At 38.5% G+C, this 13,714-nt stretch overlaps 1 long non-coding RNA gene across 2 annotated transcripts in view; it reads right to left on the minus strand.

Annotated features, from left to right (window-relative positions):
• Positions 1 to 7,260: 7,260 nt before the first annotated feature.
• ARLNC1 (androgen receptor regulated long noncoding RNA 1) overlaps positions 7,261 to 13,714 on the minus strand; it is a 63,862-nt gene continuing 57,408 nt past the window's right edge. For both annotated transcript variants that reach the window (NR_131948.1, NR_131947.1), the window contains one exon: positions 7,261 to 9,283. This is a non-coding gene — a long non-coding RNA (androgen receptor regulated long noncoding RNA 1). The remainder of the gene's footprint in view (positions 9,284 to 13,714) is intronic.

Consider the following 13,714-nt stretch of genomic DNA (forward strand, 5'->3'; position numbering starts at 1 on the left):
TAAAAATTATGACTAAAGAGAAAAAATACAACAAAAGCAAAATCTGAAGATATCATAAAGAAAGTGGTGAGCTAAAGTTTTAACAGTTTAAACCTGTAACCATTTTATACAAAGAAAGTAGTCATTTACATGTATAGACAACACAATAACATTCTCATATTAACAAGAACTCAGAAAATATACTTTTCATGTGCCCTTCTTGAAAAAGAACCTGCCTGATTGTATGATCTAATCAAAATTTAAATCTTAGGAATGGGTCGGCAATAAATACTGAAACTGGTAAAAATACTTCAGTCATTTTAAATCTAGTTTTCTGTTTGTTTGTTAGCATGAGACAGTCTCACTCTGTCATCTAGGCTGGAGTGCAGTGGCACGATCTCAGCTCACTGCAATCTCCACCTTCCAGGTTCAAGCAATTCTCCTGCCTCAGCCTCCCGAGTAGCAGGGATTACAGGTGCCCGCCACTGTGCCTGGCCTAAGTCTAGTTTTAAAATGGAAAGGGGAAAGTAACGATGTAATAATAATTTGGTACCAAGATCTGTGAAGAAGGAGGAAGTGAATTATACTAAATACTTTCTCTCACATAGAAGACAGAGCATTGGGAGCCCAAACATAACTGCTTTGCTCCTGATCTTAGAAACAAATTTAAAACACCAAAGATAATTCATTACTAGAACTTACGTGCTATATTAGCCTCTAAAACACCGACAAATATAACAGTTAAGTCATTATACTCTACACAGCTTAAGGTAGAAAATAAAGGAGACAGCAAGAAGTTAACAAAAAACATGAGTTAAGATAGCAGGGGCAATATCTATCATAAGGACCAAGGTGAATGGGATAAATGCCCAGAGAGAGGCAAAGATTCTTAAATTAGGCCCCCAAATTATGATGGGTCAGAAACAACATGTTTTTCACAAAATACAAATACAAAAGTGATTATAACATGTTTAAAAAACAAGAAATGTAAGAGACATGGTACAAATGTAAAATGAATATTAGATTAAAAAAAATCTAGACAAAAACACTAAATGGAACAAAGGGGGACATTTTACAAGAATAAGAGTCATAATTCAAAATAAGGATACGACGCACTATTCAGCAAATACTTATCAATGCTCACAGCTTTTCAAAAAAAATCATGTAAAACATCTAATGCTAACTGCTACTAAAAGTTAAAGTAAGATAAATAACTTTTTTGGGTTGTTCTATTCCTCAGAATATTCCATTTAAATACATTTTTTAATGTTAGCAATACAAAGAAAAACTGACAAAAACTGTAATTTGGAAAAACTCAAACATACCATTTCTGTTTTAGGCAGGTCAATTAGACTATATATATATATATATATATATATATATATATATATATATAATCTAGAATATTAAAAGTTTGAAAGTTTAATTTTAAAAACAAAAACTACAAAGAATTTTGGGCTGGGTGCAGTGGTCATGCCTACAATCCCAACATTTTGGGAGGCCAAGGTGGGAGGATCACTTGAGGCCAACAGTTTGAGACCAGCCTGGGCAACATAGTGGCGAATCCTATTGTAAACTGCACATTTGAGGGATCTAGGTTGCGTGCTCCTTATGAGAATCTAATGCCTGATGATCTGTCACTGTCTCCCAACACCAGCAAATGGGACTGTCTAGTTGCAGGAAAACAACCTCAGGGTTCCCACTGATTCTATATTATGGCGAGTTGTATAATTACTTCATTATATATTACAATGTAATAACAGAAATAAAGTACACAATAAATGTAATGCTCTTGAATCATCCCAACACCATCCCTTCCTCCCACCCGTCCATGAAAAAACTGTCTTCCATGAAACTGGTCCCTGGTGCCAAAAAGGTTGTGGACCACTGACACAGAACACATAATAAAGTGCAATAATACTATAAATAAATTACAGGCATTGCCTGAGGATAATAGATTCTGAGAATAATCCTTTCAAAGCAAATCCCCTTATAAGGAAGTTCAAAATTTTATAATGTGAAAAAAAAGTTGGAGTGGAACTTTACCTTGAAAATTCAAACAAAAAATTATCACAGGGAGTCTATTTTATTGCATATATAATAAAATTAAAGAACAAACATTTTATTTATTTATTTATTTTTTGAGACCAAGTCTCACTCTTGTCACCTAGGCTGGAGCGCAGTGGCGTGACCTCGGCTCACTGCAACCTCCGCCTCTTGGGTTCAAGCCAATTCTCCTGCCTCAGCCTCCTGAGTAGCTGGGATTACAGGTGCTTACCACCAAGCCTGGCTAACTTTTGTGTGTGTGTGTGTGTGTGTGTTTTTAGTAGAGATGGGGTTTCACCATATTGGCCAGGCTGGTCTTAAACTCTTGACCTCAAGTAATCTGCCCACCTCGGCCTCCCAAAGTGCTGGGAAAAATTAAACATTGATTTTTGGCATATTTGTTCTGACAAAATTTAGGAGCTCAGGATACAGCCATCCTTCGTATTTGAATAATCAAGAGTAATTTTTCTTAAGAAATATCAAAGCCTTTATCAGTTTCCCAAAGGTCCTTTTAATGATTTTCTATTTAGATATTTCTTCTCTGAAGCTACCATGTCATCATCTTTGTAGATTTTTCTCTTTTAGCTGCATTCTGCCAGATCCTAATTTATCAAAGAAATTTGAGTGATTCCAGCAGTTCTCCAACATCACTTTCATCAACTTCATAAAATTCTACAGGATCTCTTTTTAATCAAATCTAATGTGTCTGCTATGTTTTGTCAGAAAAATATGCATAAATCAACTAGCGGTTACTAGACAAAGAAATATGACCAGATTAACAGGTATAAGCCCTGGTCTTACTGGTCAAGAAACATTGAAGATAAGAGCAATTTTATAAGTAATTAATTCATCAGTAAACCTTTCATGTTACAACAACTTTGCTACCTTATACAACTTCATAACTATAGGGAGTTAGATATTAAAGACCTCCCTTCATGGAATATAAAACAAATTCTGTCCTACGTAATTATGTATAAGAAGATAACAAAATTGCAATGACCTTATTTAGACATTAATTACAGTGAAAACAGATTATATCAAAACCAATGGAATACAGTCAAGGTGTTAATCAGTGAGTTATTTACGGAGTTAAATGCTTTCATTATTAAATAATATGGAAAATAAACTAAGCACTTAACTTTTTAAAAAGCTGGAAAAGGATATGAAATTTAAAAATCAGGAATTAACAAATATAAATCAAAAAACAAATCCAATCTCTAATTTTTTGAAAAGACTAATGCATTCCAAGTCTACACAAGAGAAAGGAAGACAGGGAAAGAGAAAAAGAGGGAGGACGAAAAGGAGGAAGAAAGGGAGGAAGAGAAGGAGGAAGGAAGGAGGGAGGGAAGAGAGAAGCAAGGCAATCACATAATGTTAGGAATGGTAAAAGGTCTAAAGAAATCAGGTTCTGGAAGGTTTTCAGTCCATTTGTTCTTAAATCTAAAGTAACATAAAGTGACTGTATCGCCATCTGTTGGTAGCAGATGGAGTTGACACCTTTGCTCTGCCTTTGTTCGTACCTTAAAACCCTTGTAAAGTGAAATTTCAATATTGTTTTTAATTTACAACTTCTGAAATATTTTAAATGGTACAAGATACTTTAGAGGCTATGTCAATCAATTTTTAAATTATGACTAACGGGAAAATTTTGCTGGAAATTATAAATAGCTAAAACTGACTCAAGAGTTCATTTAACTAATTGCTTCAATATCATTTATTAATAATTTGACTCAAAAACTCAAAAATCCAAATGGCCATGTAAGAAGTAAAAAGAAAACAAGTTCTCCCCAACATGGTTTAGGATCAATTGAATACTTTTAAGAAAGCAATTAATTCCTATATCTTCCAAACTCTTCGAAAATGTTATTTTAAAAAGAAGATTCTCTAATTTAATAAAATCAGTATAACTCTGATACCACAGAAAAAGCTGACAAAAATATCCCTAAAGGAAATGTGAAGACAAATTAAAATTTAAATATAGATACAAAAAGTCATCCAAATAATTATAGCAAGTTAATACAACTGCATATTCAAAGAATATCACTGTCGAGTCAGCATTATTTTTAGACATGCAAGGATAGTTCAATATTATAAAATCATCAGTATAATTTAATAATAGAAACAAGCAAAAAATCCTGTGAAGAGCTTTAAGGACAAAAAAAAAGCCTTTGATAAATTCAACTGTATTCTTGGTTGAACAATCCTACTGCACTAGGGTTAGAGGAAAAGTTCATAAATATCAGTAAGATTCCCCCTCCTTCTAAAATCTTTCTTACTCTTGTAAAAAAAATTATGAATGAAATAACCAGTTACAACTACTTATAAAATATCACAGGGGAAACTAATTTTGCAAAAGTATCAAAAACTTATTTTTTCTTGAAAAAAATAAATCTGAAGCTTAAGACACGCTTCTAAAAATCTACAAAACTCTAAGAAAAATAAAAAATAGACATGGACAAATAAAGTGGCATACTATATTCATGGATGAAACGACAATATTGCAAACAAATCAGTTCTTTTCCGAATTAATCCACTTATATAGTGCAATTCCAACCTATATCTCAATAGGGCTTCTTTTTTTGGAATGAATACAGGTTTTCAAAAATTCAACTAGAATAGTAAATAGAGAATACCCAAGACTATTTATTTATTTAGAGACAGAGTCTCACTTTGTCACCCAGGCTGGAGTGCAAGTGGCACGATCTCAGCTCAATGCAACCTACACCTCTCAGGCTCAAGTGATTCCCGTGCCTCAGCCGGGCAACAACATGCCCAGCTAATTTTTAGTAGAGACGGGGTTTCACCATGTTGTCCAGGCTGGTCTCAAACTCCTGACCTCAAGTGATTCACCCGCCTTGGCCTCCCAAAGTACTGGGATTACAGGCATGAGCCACCGTGCCCGGCCCCAAGACTCTTTTTAAATGAAGGGAAATAAAGTGGGCCTTACCCTATCTGCCTTAAAAAGCACTAACTGTCCTGGTGCTCAGTGAAACCCAACACAAAGTTTAGGAACAGGAAGAAGGACCTATTAGAATGTGATATGGGATAAAAGTGGTATCACAGAGTAGTGTAAAAAATCAGGTTATTAACAAATAGTATTGAAGCAATTAGCTAAGTATTTGGGAAAATATAAAGTTAGGCCCTACTCTAAAAATAAGGTAGATTGTACTTAGTTCTGAATTATGAGCTGCCTTTTCAATGAGATTACAATTCCATGCCTCATTGACATCAGGCTTAGCCATGTGACTTAATTTGGCCAATGAAATGTGAACAGAAGTGACAAATACCCCAGTATAGTAGAAGTTCTATATGCCATTGCACGCTCCCACTGTTGCTCTTTGTCTCTCTTCCAGGAGCTCAGAGTAGAGGCTTCCTCTTCGGTCTAGGTCACAGAATGAGGCACAACTGGAATAGCACCAAAGGTAACCTACAGCTAACATGTAAAGTGAGTGAGAAGTAAATCGTTATTATTATAAGCCCCTGAAATTTGGGGATCACTTGTTACCATGCACAACCTAAAAAAAGTGTTGAGTGATATAAAAATAGAAATTAGATAAAGTGTCAAAATGAAACTATGAAGTCTCTAGAAGAAAACACTGATGAATATTTATAAAATCTCATATCTAGTTAAAAATAACATGAAAGAGCAACACTTAAATGAAACAGTTTAAAGATCTGGCTACATAAAAGGTTAAAATTTTCATTCTACAAATACTCAGTCAACCACAAACCAAACCAAAAAATTTATTTGCAGCATATGTGCTGCTGGATTCATATGTAAAAAATTCTTACAAGTGAAAAAAAAGATGAATGTCCTAAGGTGCTAAGGACATTAATAAAGACAAGTTTCAGAAAATATAAAAATAGCCACAAAAAACGTTAAAATGTGTTTAATTTGGCTAACCACCAAAGAAATTGAAATAAATATTGAGACTGCTGTTTTAACTATCTTATTAACAGAGATATAAAGTATGATCATACCCAATTTTGGCTAAGGGATAGAAAAGAGGAAGGAAGCACCCTCCTACACTGTCCTTGAGGTATAAATTGATATAAAATGTTTCAAAAAGCAACTGGGTAAAACATCGAAAGACTTAAAAAGTGGCTCAGGAAGGCTACTCCTGGAATTTATCCTTAAACATAATTGGATAAGTGGGCAAAAAGTATTATACATCTTGGTGCCATTTATAAGGAAAAATCCAGAGAAGTCTTAAATGCTTCACTAAATTATTATACATTTACAGCTGTTAAGGATGATTATGTAAATGTGTATTTATTTGTAAGAAAAGGCATGCATGTTTTTCAAGATGGGAAAACAGTTGACCAATATTTTGTTGTATACCATTATTTTTTCTAAGAATATATAGTATATATAACATGTCATGAGCTACATAATGACATTTCAGCCAACAGCAGACTGCATGTATTATGGTAGTCCCATAAGATTACTATGGAGCGTATATAGAAACCTGATATGTGGTACTTGATATTGGCACCGCAGATCAAGTAGGGGAAATGATTGATATTCAGTAATGGTGCTGAAACAGTTGTTTTTCCATGTGAAGAAATGTTGATAAATAAAACTCTACATATGCTATCTAGGTTTGCATAAATACTGTACACTGATAATTGCACATTGATGAAATCATCTAATGACACATTTCTCAGAACATATCCCTGTTGTTAAGCGCTTCATGACTGTATATATATCTAATGTGTATTTTAGTTGTGTGTGCGTATTTTTATACATATATAATTTTTGATATTTAACATCTGTAGGAATAACTAGTCTTTGGCATTAATAATTTTTCGTTTTGTTCATATGCATTTTTGACAACTTCAGTATCATATTATTTATGTACTATGGCAATAATAAAATTTTAAGAGAGTATTCTAAAAGGCTGTGTTGTTTATCCCTACTAGGATCACAGATCCTGGAAAACATAGTGAAAGCTATTGGTTGGCTGGCCATGAAAGTGCACACGTGCAACTACACTGAATTTCATATAAATTTCCAGGAACTCCTCATTCCTCCCAAATATGATCCATGGACATCTAGATGAAGGACGCTTGGCACAGAAGCAGTACACACTTGATGTTTGTCTACTCTGGATGTCATTAACCTTGGGTCCACTAAGTCCTAGTATCTATAATAAACAAAACCTGGGATTATTTAACTTAGTGTTTTAGTAAGCTGACAAAACACATTCTGGGAATGAATGAACGACTCCAAGGTCAGTAATGAGAATGCATCCTTTATTCTCCATTATTAGCAACATCTCTGACCTTGTCTCCTGCAGGCACACTCCGGCCCACGTGCTTCTCCTGGCTCCCAAACCACTGCACTGACCTGCCTTTATGAACACTGTGTTCATAAAGTTGATGTTCACTGAAACTTCCTTAATTCCCTGAGTGTGCTGCCCCTTGTAGTTGCCACCTATGAGATAGGTAGGTACTATCATTATTTCCATTTTACAGATGAGGGAAGTGGGGGTTAGACAGGGTAACAAATTTTCCCAACATCACACAGCTAGCAGTATATACTGGAAAATACATACAGTGTTTCGGAGCTGATGGCCTGTCCTTCCACAGGAATGATGCAGTCCTTATCCAGGAAAGCCAAGAGAAAGGAAGAGATGCATTCTGCCCTGGTCTTCTCTGTCTTCTTCCCACTTTTGAGGCTCCATTTGTCCCATGCTGGGATCTCTGCTTCTTTATCCAGAGATTTGCAGATTTTATGTAACACTGAATTGTCTCCAAATACTTCAAGCTCACTTTAAAAACATCTTTATGGAGACTTCGCTTCCTTTCTGCAAATTTCTAGTTGCCTGTTTTACATGTCAGGAATGGCTGAGTGATGCTCTGGCTCTCTCACCTGAATTTTGTCTTGCATCTCTGTTCACTTTGCCTGTTTCATTGTCTTGCCATCTCATTCTTTCTAATGGAGAAGTAAAGGAGGGACTCTGTTCCTCCCCGTACCAGGAGGGTATTGATGTTTGAGGTCCAAACTGAAAACCCATCACCTCCTTCCCACTGCTATAGCAGCGTTAGCCCTGGGGTTCATTATCTAGCCAGTTCACACCTTCTAAAGTGGGGCTCTGAAAATGTCTTACTTCCCTCACAGACAAAGCAATTCTCAAGCCTCCTGAGATCACCCACCAACCAGAGCAACTGCTGTCACTTGGAGGTGCAGCTGAATTCTTCTAATTGTGACACAAACTCTTGAAACTGTAAATGCTGAAAGATTAAATGAGGTTATAACACTCAGAAGGTTTTACAAGTAAAAGTAAGTCAAATCAATAGGTCTTTATTTCATATCTGTAATGGTTTAGCTCTGCGGGAAGTGTTAGCAGCTATATGAATTAGGAAGAATTTAGAAGACAATCCCTAAACACATGAAATGTCCAAGTAAGAAGATAACATATTTATCCAAATATTTAAAGTGAAATGCTCCAGATATGGGAAGCTTACAGTTTTCAAGCAAAGCTTTTTAGAAAAAATTATGGAACTATTTTAAAGAGAGCTAAACATTTCTTTGCCTTAGGCAGAATATACAGAACACAGATTCACCTTTTCTGTACATCTCTAGATGATCACGAATGTCAAATATCACACTACACTGTGATATGGGGATTCCCCTTGGGGGTTTTCATGTGTATAGGGTGCCTGCAGCTACACTAAACATCTTAAAGCTACCACAATGTTCACTTCATATTTTTGCTTTTTATAGGCTTTCTTGGTCTCCTCCTATGTTCCCATCATTTTCTTGCTTTGAATCTGTAAGAATCGAGTTGAATCTTCTCCATTTTAAATTTTCCATAGGCTGAGAAACTGTTTAGCCAAGTTTGGATAAAATTGTATCCAAAGTAAGAGTATACAAGCTATGGGCAAGTCCAAAATCAAGCTGTTCACAGGACCATGTTCTCTCTAAAGGTTCTAGGAGAGAATCCCTCATTTCCTTCCAGCTTCTGGGTGGCTGCTGGCATTCCTGGGCCGGTGGCTGCATCCCTCCAATCTCTGCCTCCATCTTCACATGACCTTCTTCCTTGTGTTTCTATGGGTTCTTTCCTGTTTTTTATGAAGACATTTTCATTGGATTTAGATCCCATCCTAATCCAGTATGATCTCATCTTCAGTTTTACCTAACTTATATCCGCAAAGGCACTATTTCCAGATGAAATTACGTGCTGAAGTTCTAGATGGATATAACCTTGGGGGCCATGAAGAACTCTTCCACTTACTGCAGAGATCCATCACCCTAAATAGTTAAGAACAAGAGAAATGTAGAATAAAATCTCAAGCTCCCAGGATGACGTTCCGGGGTCTTCCTATTCCACCCTCAACCCTTATTTTTGACCTCCTGTCCTGCAGCCACACTCCGGCCCACACGCTGTTCCTGGCTCCCAAACCGCTGCACTGGGCTGCCTCAACACTGTCTTTATAAAGTTGTCATTCACTGAAACTTCCTTCATTCCTTGAGTGTGCTGCCCCACGTAGTTGCCACATATGAGACAGGTACCATCATTACTTCCATTTTACACATGAGGGAGGTGAGGGTTACAGAACATAAAGAATTTCCCAATATCACACAGCTAGCAATAAGTGGAACTTGAGTTCAAAAACAGATTTGGCTGGGTTCAGAGCTTGTGCTCTTGACTATGAAGAATAACCTTAGCATGTTCCTATAACAGAAAAGACAGTGGAGTTCCCGAAGCAAGACAAAAAGTGGTAGGAGACAGAAAGCTAAGAAGACCAGCACCTGATTAGGTGGGGCCTCATATGCATGGAAAGGTGAAAAGGAATTCTGAGTGTGGTGGGAATCCACCAAGGACAATGAGGATGATGAGAGCTTAGAAAGGGCTATTACATTTGCTTGTTGTAAAGAGAAGTTTCACTTAGTCATTCATTCATTCAATTATTCACTTATTACATGAATATTTCTTGAGAACCTAGTGTGTGCAGGGTACAGTTGTACATGGGAAGGATACGATGGTGAGCATATCGGATGCAATCCTGGTCATTCTTGAGCTTATATTCTAGTAGAGGGAGAAAGATAATAAGCAAGTGATACAGTTTGGGTATTTGTCCTTGCAAATCTCACGTTGAAATCTGATCCTCAGTATTGGAGGTGAGGCCTAGTGGAGGTTTTTGGACCATGGGGGCAGATCATGCATGAATGTCTTGGTGCCATACCTATGAGTGAGTTCTTACTCTATTAGTTCAGGCAAGATCTGGGTACTAAGAAAAAGCCTAGCACCTCCTCCTCTCTGTTCTTTCCTGTCGCCATGTGATGCAGCTCTCCTTCGCCTTCCGCCATAACTGGAAGCTCCCTGAGGCCCTCACCAGAAGCAAATGCTGGCCATGCTTCACGTACAGCCTGCAGAACCATGAGCCAAATAAACTTCTTTTCTTTATAAATTACCCAACCTCAGGTGTTCCTTTATAGCAACACAACGGACTAAGACACTAAGTAAGCCATTAAACAAGCCAATACAGGTAGTGATATGCACCTTTTTTTTTTTTTTTTTTTTTGAGACGGAGTCTCACTCTGTCACCAGACTGGAGTGCAGTGGCATGATCTCTGCTCACTGCAACCTCTGCCTCCCGGCTCCAAGCGATTCTCATGCCTCAGCCTCCCGAGTAGCTGGGATTACAGGCACGCATCACCGTACCCAGGTAATTTTTTTGTATTTTTAGTAGAGACAGGGTTTTACCATGTTGGCCAGGATGGTCTTTATCTCCTAACCTCGTGATACACCCCCTCAGCCTCCCAAAGTGCTGGGATTATAGGCATGAGCCACCGCACCCAGATGATATGCACTATTTTAAGAAAAAAAAAACCTACTATAGAATGGCAGGGAAGAGGGGGAGCAAAACTCCAAACTGTCCAAAGAAGAAACATTTGAACTAAGATGGAGGCAATGAAGAGGAACCAGCTGAGTGATGGTCTAGGGGCAAGATCTAGGGGAAAGTCAAGAGAAAGAGACTGAAGAGAAAGGGTTAGGGCTGATTTAGTGAGCAAAGATCCAGGAGGGGGAGAAGTTTACAGTACCCTGAGAACAGCAATAATGCACAAACATTACTATTCCAACAGCTGCATTGAAACACCCTTGGTAGGATTGGGAAAAAGATGGATTATTGCCATTTGGACACTCCAGGACTGTCCATTAATACTCCTGACTAATGGAAGATGATAAAGATTGGGCAAGAAAAATGACTGCAGCAAACGCCTTGGCATCTTCAACTTGTCACCTTTAGCAAGAGGCCTCTTCAACAGTTCTTGGACTGTGTTTGGCAGCCAGGCACTCTCAGAACGGCAAGGAGACACAGCTAACATGATCTTTGCAATGCAACAAAACAAGCGATCTTGAGGCGACAGAGTCCAAAAGATGACAGAAAATTCATCCAACTCCTGAAGCATGTGATGCCACCAGAAAGCCTTGGCAACAGCCCTTGCAACCCCAGGCTACACCACCTCAGTCAAAGCCAAGTCCTAACATATCTCCCTTCTTCTCCTGCAGCCAAGCTGGGCAAGAAGAGATTAGACTCCAGCCCCTTGCAAAAGCTTCAAGCTGCATGTGTCACCAAAAGACCTTGAGAAAGTCACAGGAAAGTGTCTAAAATCTACATAGAAAACATTTGCCCAAGGAGACTTGTGTGACAAGGCAGGGCCCACTTTGCAGAGCTGGCAGATGTCACCATTGCTTGAGAGTTCTTCTCCTTGACTTAGTTCTGTAAACCAGATGCCCCCCAACACGCTCTAGTTTGATGACGGCATATTTTCTTTTATTCTCCAAATAAAATGTGTCGAGCTCCCATCTCATGTACTAGGAGAGGTCCTGTGACCTTTCCAGTGCCTCAGAGAGTGAGAATGGGAAAGAGGAGTGGATGAAGTAGGGCTTACCCTCCTGTGGGTCACCTCTCTTCCCTGCTGCTTCTGAACCCCACTCAGCCTCCTTCCCTCTTCCCCAGCAACTATCCCAAAGCTGTTACATCGTGTGGCAAACGTTTACTGAGGCTTTTAGGGATAATATAAGTGGTTTCTTTACAACCATTCCTTCACAGCCAGAACGCACGTAATTTAAAACTGTGTCATTTTCACACACGTCCCATAATGTCTCCTTCATGGGGAGCTTCTCATGGCCTTGGTCTCTCCCCAGAGGCTGCCTATGGCCATATTTCTGGGATCCAATTCTCACACACTGGGCCCCTCATTCTTGGGCTTCCCACATTCAGTTACCTCATTCTTGGGCTGCCCACAAACAGTCAAAATCCTTATTTTCTAAGCTGAAGCAGTTGAGCTCTCTCACTTACCCTTACAAATCTAGGTTTTGCCTAGAAGTAGTCAAAAAAGCAAGACAGAGACATCTTCATCAACCACAAAGTCTCATCAAAGTATTTTACTCCATCAAAGAGCCATTCACTTCTGATAGCCATGCTCTTCCTCTCTTAAAAGGCAGATTCTCTTTGTTTTTTTTTTTTTAACTAAATACAACGTTTTCTTCCTACCACACTGCCTCATGATCCTATTAAAAGATATCAAGATGAGGACCAGCCATGAATTCACTTCCCTCCGCAGTCCACTAACATGTTGCTTTAGTGAAAATAAACAAAACAAAAATTTAGAAATTAAACTAGGGCATTTGGATTCTTAGAAGGGATAAAACTGCATGGTAGTAGCATACGGTGATGTCCTAGATTCAATTCTATGACTATTCAGTGGCTGGAGTGGATCCTCATGGCCTACACAAATTCTTTAAGATCCCTGGGCTAGTTAGCACCCATGCAGTGGTCAGCTACATTCCCAAAGCACTGCCCATCTCCCACCATTGTTACAAGCCCCAACTCCATGCCTAGAAATTAGGCAAGTCCAGTACCCCACCATACAAGCCAAGGAAGCTTCAGGTATTACAACCTGGATCATAGCCACGGTCTTGGCTTCTCTCACTTTTCCCCTGGTTTTGGTCCTCACTTCCAGTTCTCCAAAATCTACCTGTGTCCTGACTCTGGCTGTGATTCTACTCTAAGTGCCATACACATCCCTTTCACCACTGACAGATTTTGCTTCCCTGGTTGTGACATTCAGCATTCTCTACTGCAGGGCTTCTCAACCTTGGCACTATTGGCATTTGGGTCTGGGTAATGCTTTGCTGTGGCAACTGTCCTGTGCATTGTAAGATGTTAAGCAGCATCCCTGACCTCTGTCTACTAGATGCCAGTAACACCCCATCATTGTCAAATGTCTCCTGGGGCACAATGTGGCACCTGGTTGATAAACACTGATCTACTCAACTTGCACTTGTCATTTTGCGGCTATGAAAACCACCTCTCAACAGTAAAGGTCTCCAAAGGAAACCAGTGTGGATGAGGTGTTCGCTTCATCTGAGCTCTCCTGTGAACCTGGTAAAGTTCTAACTGTCCAAGAAGTGCTCCATCAAGACTTGCCTGAAGAATTCTAAGCAGTTCAAATCTAAAAATTGACCTCGTCTGGCTGGCCAAAGCCAAAACATATGATTGAACATTCATCTATCCAATTTTTAATATGCGAGCAAGACTTGGTGATTGAATTAACTTTTTCTTCTTTTACTCATATTTGGGGGCTTATACTCAACCCAACCACTGGGAAGCCAGTAGTACCCAGAGGACACAGTTGAAATGAGGCACAATTAGGAAAAACTAGGCTGTTTAA

The sequence above is a fragment of the Homo sapiens genome, chromosome 16 (genome assembly GCF_000001405.40).
Source record: "Homo sapiens chromosome 16, GRCh38.p14 Primary Assembly".
Classification (NCBI taxonomy): Eukaryota; Metazoa; Chordata; class Mammalia; order Primates; family Hominidae; genus Homo; species Homo sapiens.